The 25071-nt window shown below is 38.9% G+C and overlaps 1 protein-coding gene across 9 annotated transcripts in view, besides 2 other annotated features; it reads right to left on the bottom strand.

The window, feature by feature from the left end:
• Positions 1 to 1018: 1018 nt before the first annotated feature.
• LCLAT1 (lysocardiolipin acyltransferase 1) overlaps positions 1019 to 25071 on the bottom strand; it is a 196980-nt gene continuing 172927 nt past the window's right edge. For all 9 annotated transcript variants that reach the window (NM_182551.5, XM_005264245.4, NM_001304446.2 and 6 more), the window contains one exon: positions 1019 to 5127. In NM_182551.5, coding sequence (NP_872357.2) covers positions 4625 to 5127 — 503 coding nt within the window. In that variant the 3' untranslated portion in view covers positions 1019 to 4624. The remainder of the gene's footprint in view (positions 5128 to 25071) is intronic.
• Positions 17708 to 18047: an enhancer, noted in NCBI's record as "active region_15548". NCBI's record gives its function as "activates an Ori minimal core promoter by ATAC-STARR-seq in GM12878 lymphoblastoid cells {active_cell/tissue: GM12878}" and the evidence as "EXISTENCE:reporter gene assay evidence [ECO:0000049][PMID:35858748]".
• Positions 19675 to 19875: a silencer, noted in NCBI's record as "peak3643 fragment used in MPRA reporter construct". NCBI's record gives its function as "represses an SCP1 promoter by STARR-seq MPRAs in K562 erythroleukemia cells {active_cell/tissue: K562}" and the evidence as "EXISTENCE:reporter gene assay evidence [ECO:0000049][PMID:32103011]".

Genomic DNA, 25071 nt, shown 5'->3' with positions numbered 1-25071 from the left:
TTCCCACTGGACTTGAACCTGAGAGGATGCAGGGCTGAAGTGGCTGCAGGCACCATGCCACCCTACATGGATCCTGCAAATCAAGCCAAGGACAGCACAAGTTCTCTTTAGTAATTTAGTTTAAAAATATCAGTATGAAGGTGCACTGTATATGTGTGGATTAGTATCTTATGTCCATCCCAGGACATACTAGCTGGAATTTGAAGCCCTCACTAGAAATCCACCCTCCAGAGAGGGTTGCTTAAGCCTTTTATATAATTTATCAGTGAAATGAATAATGCTGAAGCTAAGTAGGTGGTGAGAAACAAAACCCTTCTCTTCCTTTTGCTTAAACGGAGGACAGGAGTCCCACAAACCCAATGTCCCAGTCTGTGGGACTGGCGCTCTTGGGGCCGGGTCTGTGCTCTTCTGGTCCTGCATTCCCCTTTCCCAGGGAACAACGTTGTGGACTCCCCTCCACATGAATCTATCACACAAAGTGCTCACTTGAGAAGACAGAGTGGGGCATTGCAGAAGGCCCCATTACAAGAGGCTCCGTGATTCTCATGTGTTTGTCTGTTTGCTAAGCACATTTTTATACATTTGTCAGATTTTGGTCCAAGATTTGCTTTTATAGTTATATACTCCCCAACGTGAGGTCAGGGACTGGAGCACAGAGTCCCACTTATCTTAGGTAAGAGTTGGTCATGCTGATATTTATATAAGATCCCACATTTGTGGAACAACCAAATTGTTCTCAATAGCAAGGCTGTGCTAAGAGATGGAGGAAAATCAAGTTCTGATGACATTCGTTGAGTCCTTAATTCAATTGTGGTGCCTGGACTTTTCCTATTATGGAGGTAGTACATTGTTTTCTTGATTAGGCCACTTTTCTTGACATCTGTGGAAAAAAGAGACCTAACTGGCCAGGTTTTTCCTTAACACTAGACACTGCAATGCAAGGCATTGTGGGGAAAAAAGTAGCACCTTAACTTGCAGTTACTTGTTATTCCTGCAAAAACAGAACGTAACACACATGTAAACTATTTAATTCACTCCTTTATTCTGGGATGTATATTACAGATAACACAACTCACAAATATACCATCAGACATTGAAAACTAAGGCCATTCTGTGAGTTATTTTTAAAACTTGGTGTTTTGCACATAATGATCTTAAAAAAAAATGAATTACCAAAACCAAGATTCTCTTCTAAAATGAAAATTTAATGCAGGTACAGGATAACTTTAGGGCTATATCTAATCTGAAGCTTATCAGGTAGCAAAACCATTTTCGTTTTCTACAGCATAAATAACAGCTCTAAGGCAACCACTACCTCAGCATGAAGCTCATTTCTCCACGTTAGAGTAGTGTTTACCTGCTACAGTGACCAGTGTTTAGAGACCATTTCCCTTTCAGTAGCAAAAAGAGACTTTACCTAAGAAACACACTACATACTACAGAATCCTTGGAACAAGAAACAGAAAGGGAGCTGTAACTAAGGCACTGAAAGCACATTATTTGTATAAAGAAATGTAAACAATTTAACACCAACAGGCTCCCTCCGTTGGAGTCTTTATTGTAAATGCACACAGGGGCATCATAGTCAGGGCTAGAGTTTGAAGTCTGGGTGAAACAAATGTTTCTGCAGAGTTCAGAGTCTTGGCTGCCAATATATTTCTAACATGGTGCTGTTGAATTAACTATTTCAAAGTGACTCAAGTGGAAGCTGGTATTTCCCTTGAATCTGAGTTTTAATAGCATTAACAAACAAGGAAGAATTTTATAGGAGTCCTAAAATTACGGGCTCTTTCTAACATTTATTTGAGTCTTTTATCAAGTTCTTCTAATGAATTTTAGGATTATTTTGGCTTATTTCATCAAGGAAGTTTGGTGTAAGAACTTGTTACCTAATGAGTGCCCCTCCTTGTAAGTTCATATTTCAAGTTACATGGTTCATGCCATAAATAAACCACACTTGCTTTAACATCGTTCAGAATGGTACATTTAACAATTGGACATACAGCACTGTAAACAATTCAAAGTCCATTGAGCTTACCATGAAAGAACTGAAACGTATGTAGGAACTGTGTCCTGCTGCAGACAAGCAGCTGCTCTGGCTCTGGTGCGGTGCGGTGCAGTGAGGTGAGGTGGGCAGGTGTGGAAGGGAGAATTCCTGAGGCCAGTCACAATTATTGAAGCTAAATTAATTTCTTCCTGACACTTTAGCATTAATTCTAAGTAGTTCTAAGTTCTAAACCATTAACTGTATAGTTAATTTTTTTAAATCAAAGAAGAAAAAGGCTTTCACACAGATGAATGTATAGGAAAACACAAGTAATGACAATTTTCAAGAGCCTTATTGTAAAAAAAGAAAGAAAGAAAAAAGGACAATTATTTTTGGAGTTACTGTCTCTAATTCTTAAAAAGTAAGTACAGTGTCTGTATCTCTAAGTTTTAGTGCTATACAGCACTAAATGTACTTTATGAATTTGGGGTAGGTAAAGTTTGTATTTTATCTTAAACATGTTTTCTATGATGAAAAGGAACAAAATTGTAAAAAATGAGGATCTTCCCTCTAAAGGTTTCAAAGCGTTAGAGGACATGCAATTAAATGTTGTTACACCTTGAACAATGAGCCTCTTGAGTTTGTAGGAAGGGCAGACCGGCTCCATTACCAACAACTTTGGGGTAGAAAGCACAGCTCTCCTCTTTTACCCAGCACAAATGCAATCCTGATTATAAAACTATTTGTGTTTCTAAATACAACCAAAGGAAATCTTAGAGAAACATAAATTAGAAACCTCTTTTATTAAGGGGAAACAACAAAAAAAGGTGCTTTTTTAAAAAAAAAAAAAAAAAAAGAAAAGAAAAAGAAAAAACAAGCTGTAAAACCATGAAGTTAAAGAGCTGGGTCTGGAGCAGATGTGCATAATAACTAGTTAGTTGCTCCCAGCAGGATCAGAAACAGCTTTGGGGGAGCAGAGGAATATGGGTTGGTGTGTTTCAGAAGAGGCACCAGTTAATACTCTTCCAATAAAAATGATGTGTCAACAGTGTTCAGCCTCAACCAGTGCTTTCTCACAGAATCTGCTTGGTAAGTTCAGTTCACAATGTGTTTACCTTTCATGGCAATGCACGATGCAATTATTGGGTAGGTCACTGTCAAGCAAAAACGAGATATAATTACAGAGAAGGCATTAATGCCCAAAGAGTACATAAAGCAGTAAGTAGCTTCTGAGGCTGGTTCAATGCAGAAGTAAAACTAACAGGTTTGCTAACAGCTAAAGACTTTTAATTGCCTCATATTTTCTGCAGCTCTGACCAGCATCCTTCTTACACGACAAAAAAAAAAAGAAAAAAAAAAAGAAAAAAAAGTGTGCAGCTCCAACAGAGTGAAAATGACAACACTTTTCTTTTGCCTCAGAAGAAGACTGGTGCTTGGTGTGCTGGATTTTCCACTGACTCCAAATGACAAGAATATTTGGGCAAACAATTGGTCAAAAGTGGGTTTAAATATTACTATTGAAAAAGGAAGGCTAAAACTAAAAAGAAAGATCACTTGCTATCATTATTAAGGATTAATTTTTGTGTTTCATTTTGGTTTTAAGGTAAAATTTGTCAAGGCTACAAGGGGTTGAGTAATTTAGGATAAACCATTACTGCCCTGTCTGCAAGCCATTTGTTGTTTTAATGGTAGATGTTAGATACCCAAGCACATGTAGAAAAAACAACCTTCCTTTTTTGGTAGGTTGTAAAGAAATATTTCAAAAGACAGTTTCTGACTGGAATGACAGAATGTTCTGAGTGTTCCTTTAAAAAAGTATGTGACTTCATGTATACCATTTTTAACAGAAAAAGCTACACCTGCCAAAATGTTGTAAGAAAACCAGCACTAAGCATGCAATACTGAGTGTGAGAAAGGAACTTAAACTGTATTACTTCCTATCTTTTAAAATTCAAACTAAAGTTTCAAAGTGGAGAGCCTGTGGTTGCTCCCTGAGTCCAGGTTTTATCTTCCACGAGAGAAAAGGGCACAGGTGGTCTTCTGACGTCTTGGTCAGCATACAATGTTATGAATAATGAAGGGCTTCCTGTCAAAATGCTTGATCGGTTTCACGACAAAGGGGGTTCCATTTTCTGATCTTAAGGATGAGATGGGTTTGGCGCAGGAAGAAGGACGCCAAGGGAGGGAGCCTGGGCACCACCTGCCTGAGTACCTGGAGGGACAGCGCTCACCTCAATGAGGTGACCTGGGCAGTCCAGTAACAGCATGTGATCCGGGCTGTTGTTGACGAGTTCCAGATCTGCCTCTGGTACGGGGAGTCTGTTAGGATTGGGCCTTTAAGAAAAATGTGTGTGTTCCTTGTCGCTAAAAGCCTGATGATTGTTTAATAATATTCTGGCCCAAGTTATTTCACCCCGATCACTCCCTGCTATGTACACAGTATCGAAATTACATTCAGAGATTAAAAAAAATTGTAGCAATATTTTTCCCACAAAATTAAGTGCAAAATATCTTTAACAAATAATGATGGCAGTAAGAAATATTCGACATAGTCATGCAAAAATGCATCTGAGCTTAGAAAGGTTTAGAACATTTCCAAAATATGCTCTAGGTTTTCACATGGCAAACCTTATAATCTTACTCATTTTTCTTTGAATTTAAATGTGGCTGTTTGTGTAAAAGTCGGTAACATGCAAGTTCTATGATCTCCAGTCCACCAAATATTCTCTCTTGCAGCACAAAGATTACAATGGTGATTATAAAATACCACTTAACAAGACTGTACAAATATATGAGTAGGCACATTGCAGGGCTGAACAGGGTCCAATACAGTATAGAGAGCAATTTGACCACAAGGACCCTGAGTTCAGACTTGCAAGGTGGAATGACACTCTGTCCGGTAAAATAAAAATTCTTCTCCCCTTGATAGAAGGAACGCAGCCTCTCTTCTTTCTCTTCCCACCGTTTGTGGCACCAGAGTTGAAGGTCCTCCTTGGATGTGGGGAGGGTGTCTATTGGATACCGGTGGACGTGAAAGTGGATTTCCCTGGGAAAGTCTCCTTGGAGGAGGTGCTTCTCTGATTGAGGAATGTTGTGAGGATACGCCACAGTGATATCATGGACAGCATCAAGGTTCTTACCTGGGTTTCGAAAAGATGAAAACATAGATTAAGCAGTGCTCAATTTGGGTGATAATGCTGATTCACACTGCAGGGCAGCACCAGAAACCGAAAAATCAGGACAGTGTGAACCACAATGAACAAACAAGGGTTAGAGATACTGGTGTTCCTGGACACCTGGGTCAATATTTACCAGTCATCTTTAGTTTTATTTCCTGCTTGCTAATTACCACAAAATATTTAGAAAGAAAATATCTTCATTTGCAGAAACAGTAATCTGCCATTCTAAAACTACTAAGCACATTAACTCAAATTTGAGATGGGAATTAAACATTACAGGGCTAGCTCCTTAAACACCAATAGAATTCAGTTTTGATACCTCCTATTAATATAGCCATCTCTCCAAATAAAAGTAGACTTTCTCACCTTTAACCCAATGTTACCACGATAGCTACTGAAAAGAAAAACTTAACTTAAAATCAGACTTAGGTGGTGAGAAACATGTGAAAACTACCATATACTTTTTTATTTTAAAAAACATCAACTTGAGCTACAGGGGCACACACCTGTAAGCCCAGGTACTCGGGAGGATGAGGTGAGAGAATCGCTATTGCCCAGGAGTTCAGCCTGGACAATACAGTGAGACTCCATCTTTAAAAATAAATAGATAAATAAACTTGAACTCCAAGTAAGACCCTGATCCTGTATCCTGTCATCCTGAATTTAACTTAGGGGGTAAAGTGTTTTCACTTAAACAGGCCAGAGTGCTAGATGCTGGAGATAGACAGTCAAGTAAGACATGGTCCTAAACCTCACTCAAGATGTTCTCAACGTAACTGGGGAGGCAGGCATGCATAAAGGCCTAAATAGACCTTATGGGAACACGTAAGGTGTTAGTAAAGGAGAGGAATGAGGTGGGGTAGTGGCAGAGCAAATGTTCTGGCAGAAAAGCACAGTGGGGATGGGAACACTAAAAGTGGGCAGGAGCCATGTGGTCCAAGACCCCATGTTATTCTTCAGAATTTAAACTCAATTCTGTAGGTGGCAGAGAAGCATTTTACATGGTGGAGAACTACTTAAGGATTTCAGACAGAAGGAACCCATATGTTTCATTTTAGCAAAGATTACTCTCTGCGGGCAGTGACCAGAATGGTTTGGAGAGGACCAAGGGCAAAAGAGGTAGAATAGTTTGATGGCTACTACAATACAGCAGGCAAGAAATGGAGAGGACGTAGGGGCCAAAAAAGACATGTCCAAAAAAGTTACAAGGAAGAACGGATGTGACACCGTACAGTGGCCAACTGGATGTGGGAGACGGATGTGACACCGTACAGTGGCCAACTGGATGTGGGAGAATGGGGAGGAGGAGCAGGGAGGAGTCAATCCAGGTTTGTTTTTGGCTCAGGGTACCAAGTAGATGGTGGGGCCATAGAGATTAGAAATGTAGGTGGAGTGTTGGACCTGTAAGGGACCTTGGGGATCACTTAATCCAATTCTTTATAAGAGGCCGAGAAGTTTGGAATTTTGCCCAAGGGCACACGGCTTGTTGCTGCGGAGTCTCTGAATGTTACTTTCTCCTGAACCATGTTACCTTCAGTGAGAAACTTTTGATGAGGACTTTGATTACTTACAGAACCATATGATGCAGACAAAACTAATCTGTGCTGATAGAAATCAGAACAGTCGTTGCCTGTGAGGGTGGGAAACGATGAGAAGGGAGCATAAGGAAATTTTCTGGGTGACACATTCTAGATTCAGGTGTGGATTACATGATGCTTACATATGTCAGAAAAATCAGATTGCACATTTAAGACATGCACATTTCACTCTTTACATTTTACCTCAATAGCAGTAATAAAGATAGGAAGCAATTCCCCCACCTTATCCCACATTTACCCTTTCCACTGAACAGGTTAGGTTGTATTCACTTTTTAAAAAATGATTATTCAAGTTTTCTGCAAATGTTTGTCAGTCTCCATTACTCTGTGATTTACTTTAGGGTAAGAACCAGGCTTCAATTTGGTTTCATAACTGAATTACAAAATAATCAGCACTTAATGAGAGCTGCTTTATAAATGAAAATGCCTACATCAACAGGCTTAGATTCAAAGTTGAAATGACAGCCCTTCAGGAGTGCTGTATATTGTTCGCAGGGGGTAGAGGAAGTGCAAATGAAAGCCTCACTGAAGAAAGCTTCAGTGGAGCTGTATTTGAAGAGAGACTAGGCCAGACCTGCTTGGCTCCAAAGAAGAGAACTGGGGGCTGGGTGCGGTGGCTCACACCTGTAATCCCAGCACTTTAGGAGGCCGAGGCGGGTGGATCACCTGAGGTCAGGAGTTCGAGACCAGCCTGACCAAGATGGTGAAACCCCATCTCTACTAAAAATACAAAAATTAGCTGGGCGTGGTGGCGCACGCTTGTAATCTCAGCTACTTGGGAGGCTGAGGCAGGAGAATTGCTTGAACCCGGGAGGCAGAGGTTGCAGTGAGCTGAGATCGTGCCAATGCACTCCAGCCTGGGCAACAAGAGTGAAACTCCGTCTCAATAAAAAAGAACTGGGCCAGTAGTCAGAAGCCCATGGGAAAAGCTTTGTGACTGAGCTATCAAGAGGTGATCTATTTACCATTTGAGAAAGGGCTGGCGCTGACCACTTGCCTTGTATGCTACAGTGGGAATTTACATGCTGAAAGGTGGGCTGTCCGATCAAGTATCTAAAAAAGACCCTATTCCATTGCTGATAGACTGAGTATGATACATTCCTTAAGATGTTAATATGTCTTACCTGTTAACTCACTTGCATTAAAAAAAAAAACCAGCAATCTTTCATCTCTATTACTTCATGAGAGATGAAGCTTTTCCTTGACTAGACAGTACAAGCTAGTTTAATATTTTAGAGCACTCTCTATCTGCAGACCTCAGAGGCCATTCATTTCTGCCCGCCAACCACAACCATAATCCTTGTTTTAGGTGCCTTTCCTCAGTGCCACTCACCCTTTCCTTTCTCTCACATGGAGGTAAATAAGATGTCTTTACCTCTTGTAACTTGTCATGCCAATTAGCCAGATTCAGGACTATGTTCACATTTCATTTACTTTCAAAACTCCTCGGAAATCAATACTTCTGCTTCTAACATCTGTGTAAATACTTCTCTCCTCAATCAGGATTACAGGTCTTCATCAGTATCACCTTTCACAACAGCCTTGACCGATCTCCTTTCCCCATGTAGCTCCTTCTACCTCTCTACTCAGTCATTCTACGTGAGTGTCACAGTCAATCTTAAAATCTTAGGAACAGCTCATTCACATGGCCCAGCCTTTCTCATACAGGTGGTTCCTAATGCTTACGGATCAAATACAGTCATGTGTTTTTACAAATTGGTATCAAAATGGTGAGAAGAATGCCCTTTTCTTTCTTCCTTCTTCTTGATGATCTATAGTAAAGGTGTGTGTGTACCATGTGTGTCTGTGGGATTATAATGTTCAGTACAGAAATGGCAAGTTTTGAGATGGCAAGTTTGATGGCACCACTGAGAAATTTTCCTTGATGAAAGATTCTAGATTCATGGCAGCACCGAGTGTGGAGGGAGGGCTGTGGACACAGACTGCCTGGGATCCTGGCTCTGCCTCTTGCTGAGTTACTCAATATCTCTGTGGCTTACTTAGTTCCTATATCTATAAATTACCTAAGAAGGTTGTTGTGAGGCTTAAATAGCAAATTCTCAATAAAGGCTGTTTACTAGGCTGTACCCTTTTTCTCTAACTTTACCTCCTGGAGTCCACTGATACCAACATAGTAGTCAGGGTAAATCACATTTCAATACTATCTCCATACCACTGTCAACAGCACTATTCACCTGGGTGCTGAGAATGCCAATTAGAGGCCTCTTAATTTAACTTTCCTACTCAACACAAATATTCTAACGAATATTTCACAAAATTGCCAAAAATACTTCCTCTGCCTCAAATATTCAGCCTTTTTTCCTGACGTATTTCATCTCAAATCCCTTCAATGTCTAGTTCAAATGCCAAGGGTTCTAAGAAGAAGCTTGTTCAAGTACCAAGGCCCAAAGTGGCCTTGCCCCCTGTGAATGCTTAAAGCACGTACACTGATAACCTCATTTGGGTACCTGGTTGCCATCCTGTGCCCTTACTAGATGCTCAAGTACATTAAGGGCAAGGACCATGTCTTTGCTTTTTTAGACTCAGTACCTAGCACAATGCCCTCCACTAAAAAGGCTCTAGAAATGAGTAGTTGACCAATATTTGTATAGTCTGCTATCTTCTCATCTAAAAATATAGAAGATAATTATAATGCTCTCTCGATTGAGTTGTGTTAACAATTTGGTGAACTAATGTACAGTGAGCTCTTTGGACAGTACTTGGCACATAGTAAGTTTTGGATGTTAGCATCTACTACAATTTCTATGACTTGTTCCATGGTATTTTTTTTTCTTTCCAACTTGGGTTCTATGAAGTCTTGGTTCTGAAAGAATTATAACAATCTTGTGAAGGGGGAAAGGGTTCACTTTACAAAAAGGTAATATTCCAAAAGTTTTTTTAAAATTGCTTGTTTAAAATCTAGAACTTTAGAATGATATTATAATTTAATTAAAATGTCATCTATATTATAAGCAAGTAAAGAGTAACACTGTAATGTTAGAAACTAAAAAAGACAAAGTGATGAAGGGAACTAGGTGTGGAGAGAAGAAAGACAGCTTACACCTTGACACTCATTTCCTTGAGCAGTGCTGGCAGCCTAGGCTTTCCTTAAGCATCATAGAGACTCGAAAATGTGTTAACTCCAAAAGCAAGAGAGGAGGAAATGGAGAATGGCTTTTATACAAGGAGGGAGAGTTGACTATCTTGATACTTTTATTTTATATATATATATATTTGTGTATATATATATATAAAGACAGGGGTCTTGCTATGTCACTCAGACTGGTCTTGAACTCAAGTGATCCTCCCACTTCATTCTCCCAAAGTCCTTGGATTAAAGATGTGAGCCACCACTTCTGGCCTGTCTTGATAACTTTAAAGCTTTATATTAAGTAAATATCTCCAAACACAAAAGCCACAAAGCCACATGTAACTCTGTACTTCTTGAGTAGAAGAGCCAAATTCTGTGCAGGTAGAAGAACTGATTTCTCATATCCTATCAAGACCTTCTGGCACCATGGCCTCTGGCACAGGGAGCCAGTACCAACAAACAACTGAGCTTCTCCGTATAGGGAACAGGTGAAAGAGGTTAGCATGGCCTTGGGGCTTGGTTCATATGAAACTGACAATAATGAAATGGATAGTCAAAAGTTGAGATGTGCCTCTTTCATTTACCATTTATAACTGGGCTAAAATACTGTAATCTGTAAAGAAAAAAATGTACCTGCAGTTACGAAGGATTTATACTGCCTTTAAATCTTTTGGCATGAAAACAACAGACTTTTAAATAGGCAAATTAAGGTGGCTGTCACCAGTAAAAGCCATTTTTAAAAGATCTCATTGCTTTTTAGATGCTTTAAATTATTATTTATTTTTATTTTGAGATGGAGTTTTGCGCTTGTCGCCGGCTCACTGCAACCTCCACTCCTGGGTTCAAGTGATTCTCCTGCCTCAGCCTCCCGAGTAGCTGGGACTACAGACGCACACCACCACGCCCAGCTAATTTTTGTATTTTTAGTAGAGATGGGGTTTCACCATGTTGGCCAGGCTGGTCTCAAACTCCTGACCTTAGGTGATTGGCCCACCTCGGCCTCCCAAAGTGTTGGGATTACAGGCGTGAGCCGCCGCGCATGGCCAGATGGTTTAAATTATAAATCTAGATGCTGTCTATTCTGTCATCTGTCTATACGGGCTTTAGAAAACGGGTTCGTTCTGTTTCAGACACTGTGACTATTGGAAAGTTTCATATTTTAATATTTTATAAAGCCAGCACTGTGTTAGAACAACCACACTCACTTGGGCCCATAGTTGTTTATACCTTGGAAGAATGAAGCACTTGCTTAATATTTCAAATCTTAATTTTTAGTCTCAGAGTGAGGAAATCTTGAGTACTTTATTCATGTTTAAGTTACAGAAGCTTACAGGCTATAACTGAATTTTACAAATGTAATATCCAGCATGAAGTGTCTCTGAGCACATCAAGCTGAGCCCACGACTATTATAAGAGTCCCAGCTCACTGAGAATGGGAGGGAGCCCAAATCCTTACACATCTGTACGTTTAAAACAAAAGAATGGAAAGAGGCTTTTGTAGTCTCTACATGCATAGTACAGTGAAGAAATCCTGGTTTGCTCATGCCTAAGTATCAGATCCAATTATATAGTTCAATGACAGAATAACACAATTTTTTTAACTCAGTGATCTCATAACAACTAAAATTTTTCTTTCTCCATTCCACAATCAAATATATGCAGACTATATAAACATGTAACTTATTTTATTTATTTATTTATTTTGAGATGGAGTCTCGCTCTGTCCCCTAGGCTGGAGTGCAGTGGCGTGACCTCGGCTCACTGCAACCTCCGCCTCCCGGGTTCAAGCAATTCTCCTGCCTCAGCCTCCCAAGTAGCTGGGACTACAGGCACACACACCACGCCCAGCTAATTTTTGTGTTTTTAGTAGAGATGAGTTTTACCATGTTGGCCAGGATGGTCTTGATCTCTTGACCTCGTGATCCGCCCGCCTCGGCCTCCCAAAGTGCTGAGATTACAGGCGTGAGCCACTGTGCCCGGCGACATGTAACTTATTTAAGATTACATTTTAACACCTGCTTTAAAAAAATTAAAATAAAAATCTATTTTCTATTTTCCAGATCTAAATTCATGAATCTAACTGCATGGATTAGAGTTTTGAGTTAAGTAGCTTGTCATCTAAGATGCATTTGAGTTGAAAGGAAATGCTGAGGCTGCTGATTTTGTACATTGTTTTTCAAATTAAAAAGAAAAGTTACTCTAAGAAGATAAAACTTGGATTTAGTAACTCAGCAATCATTCACTGTGCCACGTTGACATGGACATGTAACAGTACATAGCTAGTAATAAAGCATGACAGATTGGCACTAGTCAGTACATTTTGAAGAACAGTCTTGAATGGATTGATTCAGATATATTTAGACTAAAAATACCAATAAATAATATACCTTTCAGCTTCAAAATAAAAGGGTATGCATGAAGCACTTAAAACCAACTGGTATTAAGGCTCAAACAGTACCATTTTCTTTGAGTATTAAAATACTATTGTTTCCTACTAGGAACATTATTAATTTCCCCTTCTACATAAGTTGAATACTTAAGGAACAAAAGGTGCAGTCAGGCAGCTCTCAGTCCTGCCTTTTACCAGCTCTACGGCTTTGGCATGCTCACTATAAGCCTTGGCTGTAAATGGACACAATAGTCCCTACCCTCGTAGGGTTTTGTGAAGAGCAAATGGGATATGGACTTTACAGTGCTTAGAGAAGTGTTGGGCACATACTCTTCACAGGTTGTTCTTGTTGTATCATCATTATTCTTCCTCTAGGTGGGATAATCACCATTACCACTTGATGTGAATTTAGATTTAGGTTGCTATCCTTTACCTTCCTTCTTTCTCCTTGTCCTTTGAGAGAGATGAAGTCTGTTATAGGGCATGATGTGGTTTATTCTCAACATGCAGTCCACTCCTCTCCCATAGCATAGAGGGAGAAGCAACTGTTTAGAGGACTGACTCTGGCTCTGAGCCCTATTATGTCTGGCATATATTCCTCTCCATCCCTACTAACTCACTCCTTAGACATTTTAAGTTGTCCCATGGCATTCAGAATTGGAAGTTGATGATCTGTGCTCTAGGATCATTGGCCACCTGTCCCATCTTTTGTTGTTGTTGTTTTTTATTAAGTCAAGGATAGTACTCAATCTTTTTCTAAATAAGAACCATTTTGAGCTTCAAAGTTAACCTTCAGCTGGAAAGTTAAAACTAAAAATGGTATACTTGTGAACAGTCTTGCTTATTCAATTTCAATTTGATTCTTTACACATATTTTTAGAGACACCTATTTTCACATTTCTATCCTAAATCTGTTGCACTGTTTGTGTTTTGTATAAATGGTGAATCTTTTCAGTGCTGTTTATCTCTCCCAATGAATACTGGTTCTCTGGATCTTCAAAACAAGTTTAATTTTCCAGATAGAATAAAAATATGTCAACATGTTCCAAAATTTGACTTTAACACATTAATAGATCACTGAAAATCTGAATAACAGTATGCACTTGCTGAGGCTGGAGTTAAAGAAGCAATGTGAAATTTAAATCACAGCTCTTGGAACTCTCATATATAAAAAAATGAATAGCCCCAAGTGCCTAGCTATTAACAGTACTTATCTACTATGTCTATATTTTACTGATAATTTCTACAATTTAAAACCGTGGAAAGTCAAGGCTGAGTACATGTTAATTTCAAGCTTCTTCAGTGAAAACATCTGAAATTTGCAAGGAATATTTTTCACATAATGCATTAAAAATAAAAGGAAAAGTAACTTTGCTACTATACTGAGCTTCCTAGCAAGTGTGATAAACATTGACCTCTACTGGATCTGGCAACATCTTGATACTTCAAGGGCATCATATAAATTATAATCACACTGGCCCTTCAGCACCCTGAATATTTCCTTTGTGAGAGATGCCAAGTGTGGTGTAGGGCATGCTGTGGTTTATTTTCTAACATTCAGTCTACTCCTCTCCCATAGCACAGAAACATAGCCTTTAGGATACTGACCTGAGCTAATCATGGCAACCCTATATCCGTTACTGGGGACTGGTTCAGGAATAAGTTCACTACTCAATTTGGGACAATGAGACATGAGAGGAGTATGTCTAGGGCTTCTAGAGAAAGTTGTCTTGCTCCCAAGAGAAAGCCCTAAGAAAACCACATACAGAAAGCCACAAGAAAACCACATACAGCTGACACCATAGAGGTCAGAATGGAGATAGAAGGTACCAGGACCTAGCTCAGATGGCTGGGTGCCAAAATCTAACCTTTAAACATAACCTATTGCTAAAGTTGTGGCTGTGTCAATGCATTTCCTTACCTTTCAACCTGGTTTAAATCAGGTTTTTGGCTATAAGTAGTTAAAGTATGCTAACTGATACAGTATCAACTGGTGGGAGTTAATCATCAATTACAACTTACAGGAGAAATTTTTGGCATTTTCTGTTTTTGAACAGGCTTTCTATTTCTTTTGAGTGTTCTATTTACCATCTACTGTTACCCTAACAGCATGCAAATCTCTGACTGATATATATGTGGACCCTAAGGAAGCATTTCTCCAGTATCACCTTAAAGATTCATACTTTATTTCAAAGTACATTTTGGCTCATATGAGGTCAAGTCCCTTTTAAGTGACTCAATGCCATTCATCCTAAAAAGCCAATGCTGAGAAATGGACTTCTCTCAGGTGAAGAGTCAGGGTTCATAAAAAACTACAGATAGTCCTACATGTGGGCCTTCAAGATTATTTGAAAAAAGTAGAAGGCTGTTTTCTCTGTGCTTCATATTTAGACATAAAATTTTATATTAGCATTATCACTTACTTTTTTCATGTGATACTTTCTCTGAATTCAAAAAATATTTCCCTTATTACAAAAGGTAATAGAAGTTACTATAGATAAATGAAGAAAATGCAAGTTAAGTCTATAGAAGAAAAAAACTTGAATCATACCAACTGATTTCCTTCAGGTATATATCCTTCCATTTGTTTTTTCCTCCCCAAAGTTCAGGTGATACTTATTCACATAAAACACCTATGGAAGTGGATATTGTTATAGACAATTGTATCCTCAAGATTCTTATGTTGATGCCCTAACCCCCAATGTGACTATACTTGGAGATAAGCCTTTAAAGAGGTAATTAAGATTAAATGAGGCAAAAAAGGTGAGGCCCTGATCCAGTATGACTGGAGTCCTCATAAGAAGAGGAGGGGACACCAGGAATGTTCATGTCCAAAGAATATCACGTGAGGACACAGTGAGAAAGTGGCCATCTGCGAGCCATGAAGGAGAGGCTTCAGGAAAAGCTGACCTCGCCAACACATGATCTTGGTCTTCTGGCCTCCAGAACAGTGAGGAACTAAATTCCTTTTGTTTAAGTCACTCAGTCTCAGTCTGTGTTATCTTGTTATGGCCTCTCTAGCAGACAAATACGTACATAACATGTACCTTAAAAAAAAAAGATCTAGAAATGGAACCATACTGTAATACTGTCATATAATTTATTTTTCGTGCATCTTTCCATCGATGCTGTTAAAGACTTTCTAAAACATGTTATAGATGCACAATATTTGATGATATAGATATCACATTAAAAAAAGTTTTCATATTTCTAAGTTTTTTCCACAAAAATCACGTTTAAATAGATACCTTCATAAGCTTAACTAAAAAGGATATGAACACCTTAACAGGCTTTAGCTACATGTCGGAAACTGACCAGAAACATCAATTTAAATGCACACCAAAAATGTATAACAGTGCTTTCCTTTTCACACTCTTACTAATGCTTGGTATTGTAATTTAAGAAAATTGCCCAAGTATATAATTTTTTTTTGTTTTTTGAGATGGAGTTTTGCTCTTGTTGCCCAGGCTGGAGTGCAATGGCGCGATCTCAGCTCACTGCAACTTCCACTTCCCGGGTTCAAGCGATTCTCCTGCCTCAGCCTCCCAAGTGGCTGGGATTACAGGTGCCCACCACCATGCCCGGCTAATTTTTGTATTTTTAGTAGAGACAGGGTTTCGCCACGTTGGCCAGGCTGGTCTCGAACTCCGGACCTCAGGTGATCCACCTGCCTCAGCCTCCCAAAGTGCTGAGATTACAGGGGTGAGCCACCATGCTCAGCCTCATTTTGTATTTTTATGTCTTTGATGAGAAAAAATAAGTTTATTGGAAAAACACTGTGGTAATATAATTTATTTGTCATCTTCTTATGACTTTGCAAGAGTTCTTTACCCTCTACCATATATAGAGTAAATGTTTTCTACATACTAATTTTGCCATATAGCCACTCTTGAGTTTATTTTGTTGGATTTGCTCCTCTGTAAATGCAGCTTCATTTTCTTTATCCATTTTCTATAAGTTGTTTGTCTCTATCTAGTCAATTTGCAAAGTCCCTTCTTTATCACAGATTATTAGTCCTCTGTACACTGTGTTGCAAGTATTTTTATAAATCCATTATCTATCAATTGACTTCATGGCATCTTTTCCAACCCATGTGTGTGTCTAGTCAAGAAAATTTCTGTTATAGCTTCTGGATTCCTAGTTTTGTCTGTCAGTCCCTAATATACATGTATCCTATATTTCTCTGAAAGATGAAATACGTTTTTTTCTTTTAGCCTTATAATCCAGCTTTACTTTCTTTCAAATGGATATCAGTTTTTCAAGCAAAACAACTCCTCGTTTCTCCTTGTACTGAAATACCAAGTTGGTATTTCAATTATGGCACCGATCTCCTTTCCTCTTGTATTAAAATACCAACTTGGTCATTTATTAAATTCTCACATATATAGATATCTAGTTTCCCTTCTCTCTTCTGCTCCACTGATCTGTGAGTATTCTTGCTTCAAGATCACACTGTTTTCCTTAGTGACTCAATATCTGGTAAAGCAAGTGTGCCTCTGTGTTCTTTTTCAAACTATACTTGGCTTCTCCTGGAACAACTGTTTTGCAATACAAACTTGAAGAGCATTTAATTCAATTCCAAAACAAATACCTTATATCCCTCCCAAAAAACCTGTCCTGCAATTGCATTTGCATTATATTTACATAACAGTTTTGGAAGAATTGGCAATTTTATATCCTCTTCTCAACCAAGAAAATGGTATGCTTTTTCTTTCCTTTTGCTCAAATCTTATTTTATGTCTTCTAATAAATTTCAGTTTTCTTCACATAGCTTCTGTGATGTTTTTTAAAAAATTTATTCCTAAACAATTTCATAATTTTTATCACATAATTGTGAATAGAACATAATTGTGAATACAACATGTGTTTCTATTTCTGTTTTTAGGTAATCACTGCTAGAATAGGGACAACTCTATTGTTGTATATATATAGCCAACTTACAAATTTTTTTTATTGTAATTGAAATTTTACTAGACTTTTTGACCTTATAGATTGCAGCAAAAACAGTTTTATGGTCAATTTTCCAGTCTTTTGGTAGTTTTATTGCTTTCATTAACATTTACTTAAAGTTTTGAATTTAAAATGTGAGTTTTAAAATGAGATCTTTAGCATATAAGATGCTGACTGCTGAGTTTTGGTAAAAATCATATTAAAGTAGTTAACTTCTATTTTATTTTCCTAGTGTTTATTAGGAATGGCTTGACTTTATCAAATATCTTTTCAGCATCTAAGAGTAGAATGTTTTTTTAAAAGAAAATATTAGTCAAAGACCTGTATGAACCAGTCTTTGTAGTTAAAAGGAAAAAAGAAAGAAATCCAAAGAGAAATTGAAAAATAATAAAATTATAGTGTAGGCTTCACTATTTCTACCATAACTGAACAACTCCAGTGATAAAAACTAGTTAAATAAAGGAACTGAATAGCTATTGATAAATGTGACTTAATAGATTTATACAGACCTGTGAGAAAACATTTTAAATGGTCCATTTTTAAGGCATAGTAAGTCTAAGTACGGGCAGCTAGCCTGCGAACATAACAAACTGCATGGCTCATGCACCTAGAAGGTCACAAAATAAGGAAACAGAATGTAGAGGAGGGGTCAGCCTCTAAAAGCGAAGAAAGTTTCGTTATTGGGAAATCGAAACTTAAGTGGGGAAGGGGACCAGGGTATAACCTTATAAGGCGGATAATGAGACTTAGGTGACATCAGAGAAGATTGTAACCCCAGAGTACTCGACCAATGGGGAACTGGGGGAGGGACTTGTGTGCTAGGAGATAAATTATCTGTTGTAGCTGGCCTGGGTGTGCCTGCCCACCAGACACCCCATCTTGCAAGATCGCTATTAAAATAAGTCTCACTTTTGCTGTTCTTTGTGCCTCTAAGTCCATTCTTTGGGTTTGGATGGGTGAGTGTGTTTCTCACAGACCCATCTGATACTCAAAAATATTTTAAAGGTATCAGTAACCATGAGCATTTATAAAAAATCTGATTACTTACCTAGTGGCAAGACAATTTAAACACATTTTGTAAAAACTGAGACTTTATGATGCACATTCTCACATCAAGATTCCATAAAAATAAATAATAAAATATTCCTCTTTTTAAAAAAAGTTTAGATAACCCATGGATAAAAGATAAAATCAAAAGGAAAATTACGAATTATCTAAAAAGCAATGAAAAAGAGAATCTATAGGATACAATGAAGACTGCAATAGAAAGAAAAATTTATGACCTTACATGCTTCATTACTAAAGAGGAAAACTGAAAAAGAGAAACTACTCATATTGAAAATTAGAGGGAGAAAAAAAAGAATACAAATGGAAAGAGAAAGAGAAAATTACTAAAGATAAAAAGCAGTACTTAATATAATAAAACTAAAAAATAAATGCAGAAGTTAGTTATTTGACAAGATGAGTAAGATACTTAAACCCTATGGATCTGACTGAGGGGAAAAAGCATAAGTATTTAAGATTACATACAGTAAACTAAAATCATAAATACAGAAGAGCTTAAAGGATTACGAAAACATGAATCTACACACGTGAGAAAATCACAAAGACTTGTATACAACATATATACATGTGTAAATTCATGTACTCATAATCCTTTACATTCATATACCTTGTTTTCATTATCATTTTTCAGACAGGGCATTCAAAATTCAATGTGAAAACAAGAGCAGTAACAAAGTATATTTTATCTTACTGTTGGGCCCAACAAATTTGTTTACAAGTTGCCAAAACCCCTGCAAATGAAACAACAAAAGCCTAAAAGAGGCATGAGCATGTGCATAATCTACTAATTTGCTGGTCTTTGAAATAAATGAGACCAGAGACAGCATATTATTATAGTTTCTATGTTCTGATGTTAGGATTGAAGGTGATTAATGAAGCACGTGGCTATTACTATTTATTGAGTGCCTCTGATGTGCCAGGCATTATTCATGCCACAAATTATCTACAGAGCACTCACGGTGCCAGTCACAGCTGTAGTCATCTGGGGTACATGGGTGAACAGAAAAAGAAATGCTTGCCCTTACAGTTTATCAGTGCACACAGTCACTTTTAAGTATCGTAAGAGCCCTTGAGAAATTATCTTTCTTTTATACTTGCAGAAACTGAGCCACAGAGAAGTCATTTGTTGAAGATCAGTTAGTGGTCACTTATCGTATGACTCTAAAGCCTTTCCACTATGCTACTTTACTTTCTAAAAATGGCATATTAAGAACAGGAGCTACAGAGTCAGACTGACCTGGTTTTGTACCCATCAAAACTATAGCAGACTGTTTAAATTACATTCTTGTAAATCTACAAAATATATAACAATACAGATTAACCCTGTAAAAATATGCCCCAATATAAAGTCTAATGTTATTAATCTCCCTACCATCTTTCTGTGTGATTTTGCATATAACAGAGTTTACTACAATTTCTTTCTTTTCTCCATTGAGAGGAAAAGTAAATTTGGCTGAAGATGGGATATTATCAGTGAGGTAGGGGGCAAGCTGCTGTCTTCAGGAGTAAGACAATTAGAGAGTAGAAGGTCTCTGGTAAGTTACAGATAGCAGTTTTGTCTTTTCCATGGCCCTGGTTGTAATAGCTCTCATTTCATTTCTAACTGAGCTTATTTGGATCTTCTCTCTTCATTTTTTGGTTAATCTCACTAATGGTCTACCAATTTTATTTAACTTTGCAAACAGCCAGCTTTTTGTTTCATTTATCTTTTGTATTTTGTGTTGTTTCAATTTCATTTAGTTCTGCTCTGATCTTGGTTCTTTTCTTCTGCTGGGTTTGAGTTTGGTTCTTGTTTCTCTAGTTCTTTGAGGTGTGACCTTAGATTGTCTGTGCTCTTTCAGACTTTTTGATATAGGCATTTAATGCTATGAACTTTCCTCTTAGCACTGCTTTTGTTGTATCCCAGAGGTTTTGATAGGTTCTATCACTATTATCATTCAGTTCAAATAATTTTCTAATTGTTGACCTGATAATCATTCCGGAGCAGGTTATTTAATGTCCATGTATTTGCATGGTTTTAAGGGTTCCTTTTGGAGTTGATTTCCAGTTTTATTCTGTTGTGGTCTGAGAGAGTACTGGATATAATTTCATTTTTCTCGAATTTATTGGGACTTGTGGCCTATCATATAGTCTATCTTGGAGAATGTTCCAGGTACTGATGAATAGAATGTATATTCTGCAGTTGTTGGGTAGAATGTTCTGTAAATATCTGTTAAGTCCATTTGTTCTAGGGTATAATTTAAGTCCACTGTTTCTTTGTTGACTTTCTGTCTTGATGACCTGTCTAGTCTGGTCAGTGGAGTACAGAAGTCCCCCACTATTATTGTGTTGCCATCTATCTCATTCTTAGGTCTAGTAGTAATTGTTCTACAAATTTGGGAGCTCCAGTGTTAGATGCATACATATTTAGGATTGTGATAGTTTAATGTTGGACCAGTCCTTTTGTCATCATATAATGTCCCTCACTGTCTTTTTTAACTGCTGTTGCTTTAAAGTTTGTTTTGTCTAATATAGGAATAGCTACTCCTGCTCACTTTTGGTGTCCATTTGCATGGAGTATCTTTCCCACCCCTTTACCTTAAGTTTATGTGAGTCCTTATTTGTTAGGTGAGTCTCTTGAAGACAGCGGATACTTGGTTGGTGAATTGTTATCCATTCTGCCATTCTGTATTTTTTAAGTGGAGCATTTAGGCCATTTACATTCAATGTTAGTACTGAGATGTGAAGTACTATTCTATTCATTGTGCTAGTTGTTGCCTGAATACCTTTTTTGTTTTCTTCATTGTGTTATTGTTTTATAGGTCCTGTGAGATTATGCTTTAAGGAGGTTCTATTTCGGTGTATTTTGAGGATTTTTTCAAGATTTAGAGCTCCTTTTAGCAGTTCTTGTAGTGCTGGCTTGGTAATGGCAAATTCTCTCAGCATTTGTTTGTCTGAAAAAGACTGTATCTTTCCTTCAGTTATGAAGCTCTTAGTTTCGCTGGATACAAAATTCTTGGCTGGTAATTGTTTTAAGAAGGCTAAAGATGGGACCCTAATCCCTTTTAGCTTGCTGGGTTTCTGGTGAGAAATCTGCTGTTAATCTGATAGGTTTTCTTTTACAGGTTGGTTTCCTGATGCATTTGCCTTACAGCTCTTAAGATTCTTTCTTTCATCTTGACTTCAGATAACCTGATGACTATGTGCCTAGGCGATGATCTTTTTGCAATGAATTTCCCAAGTGTTCTTTGAGCTTTTTGTATTTGGATGTCTGGATCTCTAGCAAGGCCAGGGAAGTTTTCCTTGATTATTCCCTCAAATGTTTTCCAAACTTTTAGATTTCCCTTCCTTGGGAACACCAATTTTTCTTAGGTTTTGTTGTTTAACATAATCCCAAACTTCTGGGACGCTTTGTTGTTTTTTTTTTCCCCCATTCTTTTTCCTTTGTCTTTGTTGGACTGGGTTATTTCGAAAGCCTTGTCTGAGCTCTGAAGTTCTTTCTTCTACCTGTTTGATTCTATTGCTGAGACTTTCCAGTGTACTATGCATTTCTCTAAGTGTGTCCATTTCCAGAAGTTGTTTTTTATCTATGCTATCTATTTCTGTGGACGGTTTTCTGTCCATATCCTGTAACATTTAAAAAATTTCTTAGGGCCAGGTGTGGTGGCTCATGCCCGTAATCCCAGCACTTTGGGAGGCCAAGGCGGGTGGATCACAAGGTCAGGAGATCGAGACCATCCTGGCTAATAAGGTGAAACCCTGTCTCTACTAAAAAATACAAAAAATTAGCTGGGCGTGGTGACAGGCGCCTGTAGTCCCAGCTACTCGGGAGGCTGAGGCAGGAGAATGGCATGAATCCAGGAGGCGGAGCTTGCAGTGAGCAGAGAGCACGCCACTGCACTCTAGCCCTGGCGACAGAGTGAGACTCCGTCTCAAAAAAAAAAAAAAAAAAAAAAAAATTCTTTGAATTGGTATTCACCTTTCTCTGGTGCCTCCTTGAATAGCTTAATAGTCGAACTTCTGAATTCTTTTACAGGCAATTCAGAGATTTTGCCTTGGTTTTGATCCATTACTGGTGAGCTAAGGTGATCTTTTGGGGCTCTTAAAGAACCTTCTTTTGTCATATTACCAGAATAGTTTTTCTGGCTCCTTCTCATTTGGATAGACTATGCCAGAGGAAAGATTGGGGGCTCAAGAGCTGCTGTTCAGATTCTTTTGTCCCATGGGGTGCTCCCTTGATGTGGTGCTCTCCCCCTTCCCCTAGAGATGAGGCTTCCTGAGAGCTGAACTGCAGTGACTGTTACTTCTTTTCTGGGTCTAGCCAACCAGCGGAGCTACCAGGCTTCCGGCTGGTGACTGGGAGTGTTTGCAGAGTTGTGTGATGTAATCCATTTTCAAGTGTCTCAGTCGTGGATACCAGCACCTGCTCTGGTGGAGGTATTGGGGGAGTGAAGCGGACTCTGTGAGGGTCCTTGGTTGTAGTTTTGTTCAGTGTGCTGTTTTTTGTGTTGGCTGACCTCCAGCTAGGAGGTGGCACTTTCCAGAAAGCATCAGCTGTGGTGGCATAGGGAGGATACAAGTTTGCCCTAGGGCTGTCTGGATAAGTATTTGGGTTTCTCAGGTGGTAGGAGGGACAACAGAGCTCTCAAGAAATTTATGTCCTTTGTCTTCAGCTATCAGGGCAGGTCTCAGAGAAAGACCATCAAGTGAAGTCAGGGTTAGGCTGGTCTGAGCTCAGGCTCTACTTGGGCAGGGCTTGCTGTGGCTGCTGTGGGGGATGGGGGTGTGGTTCTCAGGCCAATGGACTTATGTTCTCAGGTGGATTATGGCTGCCTCTGCTGTGTCACACAGGTCGCCAGGGAACAGTGACAGGCCTCACCCAGTTCCCATGCAGCCTGAAAGGCTGGTCTCACTCTTGCCGTGTCCCCTCAATAGCTCCAGGTTTATTTCCAGGCAGCCGGTGAGCAGGGCTGAGAACCTGCCCCAGGCTACAACCCCCCTCACTGAGAAAGCAAGCAGGGCTTTCAGGTTTTGTACCTCCCAGCCTGCCGCATCTTCTGTGATCATATCTGCACTCCCTGTTCACCATCTTCACCAGATTCCGTCCAGGAAACTTCACATTCCATCAAAGTTGTTACAAAGTTCAGCTGGAAGATTCCTTCTCCCTGTGGTCTTTCCCCAATTCCACTGGCAGTCCTCCCCAAGGACCCCTGTGAGAAAAAGTCAGAAATGGCTTCCCTGGGAATGAGAGTACCCACAGGGCTCTCCCCACTGCTTCCTCTACCCCTGTATTTTGCTTGGCTCTCTTAAATTCATCTCAGCTCCAGGTAAGGTCAAATCCATCTCACAAGATCTGGACCTTCGGGTTCCCCTTCTCACACTTTGGTCGCTCACAGTTTTTTGGCTGTCTCACGGAGCCTGCAGTAGCAAGCTGCTTCCATCAAAGGGTCTGTGGATTCTCTCAGCTTTTATGTTTCTGCAGTATTTCTTGGATCAAAAGCCCACGATGTGAGTCTCTACAGGCTGCTCTGTCCATCCAAGTCGGAGCTGAGAGTTAGTTCTGCCTCCTACCCGCCATTTTTTCCCCATCCCTTCTTGTAAGGGCACTAATCTCTTTCATGAGGGGCTCCATTTTTATAAGCTAATTTCCTCCAAAGGCCCCACCTTCTAATAAATACGTCACATGGGAGATTGAGGCCTCAATATAGGAATTTTGGGGGAACACAAACGTTCACTCCACAGCAACATCAAAACATTCATTGTAGTAGTAACTTTTTGTTTAAATTCAATTAGAACATGAGAGTCAACATCTGGATGAGTAGTTACTGATCCTAAAATTTAAGCAGGGAGAATAACAATACATGAGGGGTAAATAAGGACTTTCAGTGGGTTGAATAGTGTCCTATCAAGATACCTGGCCACCGGAACTTCAGAATGTAACCTTACTTGGAAATAGGATCATAGCAGATTTAAGATAAGGATTGAGATGAGATCATCGTGGATTCAGGTGTCTTCTAAATCCAAAAAAAGCCTTTACATATAGAAATATGGTGAAGACAGAGGCAAAGGTTGGAGTTATGCAGTGACAAGCTAAAGTATCCCAGGAGTTGCTAGAAGCTGGAAAAGGCAAGGAAGGATTCTCCCCTAGAGCCATGGGAGGGGTTTGTGGACCTGTCAGCATCTTAATTTTGAATTTCTAGTCTCCAGAACTATAAGAAAACGAATTTTTTATTGTTTTAAGCCACGAAGTTTGTGGTAATATTTTATGGCAGTCTAGAAAACTAATACAGTATTAAGAAATATCTAATGACAAGGATTGCTTTTTTCGTAGTCTTGATTTTTGAGGAAGGAAATTTCTTCTAAAGTTTTATTGCAGTTTTGAATTATAAAGTGGCATATTTTGAGAAGAAGGAAGCATGATCACCCAACTATTATAAATAGCTATATGCAAAATGGAGACTTCTAATTTTCTAAATCTGTCTGAACAGGTGAACTGCAGGTTCCTATGGAAAATAGGTTCCTATGGAGCTGCCATTTTACAGCAGTTACTACAAACTACAGAGATCTGTTCCTTAGTTGAGGAAGAGAGGCTATATGACAGTAGTTCTCAAACTCTAGTAGCCTAAGAATACTTGGGGAATTGAAAATGAAGAGTTCTGGGCTTCATTCCCAAAGACTCTCCCTTAGTTCACACGGCTGGGATGAGGCAAACTGTATTTTAGCAAGCACTCCAAGAGATGATGATCACATACAGGGGCTGGAAAGGCCACACTGGGGAAATAAATACTGGGTTATGGGGATAGTTCTAAGCAGAGAGGACCATGGGAAGTTGT

Source organism: Homo sapiens, chromosome 2 (genome assembly GCF_000001405.40).
Source record: "Homo sapiens chromosome 2, GRCh38.p14 Primary Assembly".
Taxonomy (NCBI): Eukaryota; Metazoa; Chordata; class Mammalia; order Primates; family Hominidae; genus Homo; species Homo sapiens.
The sequence above is the reverse complement of the archived record's forward strand: the minus strand, read 5'-3'. Positions and strand labels throughout refer to the sequence as shown.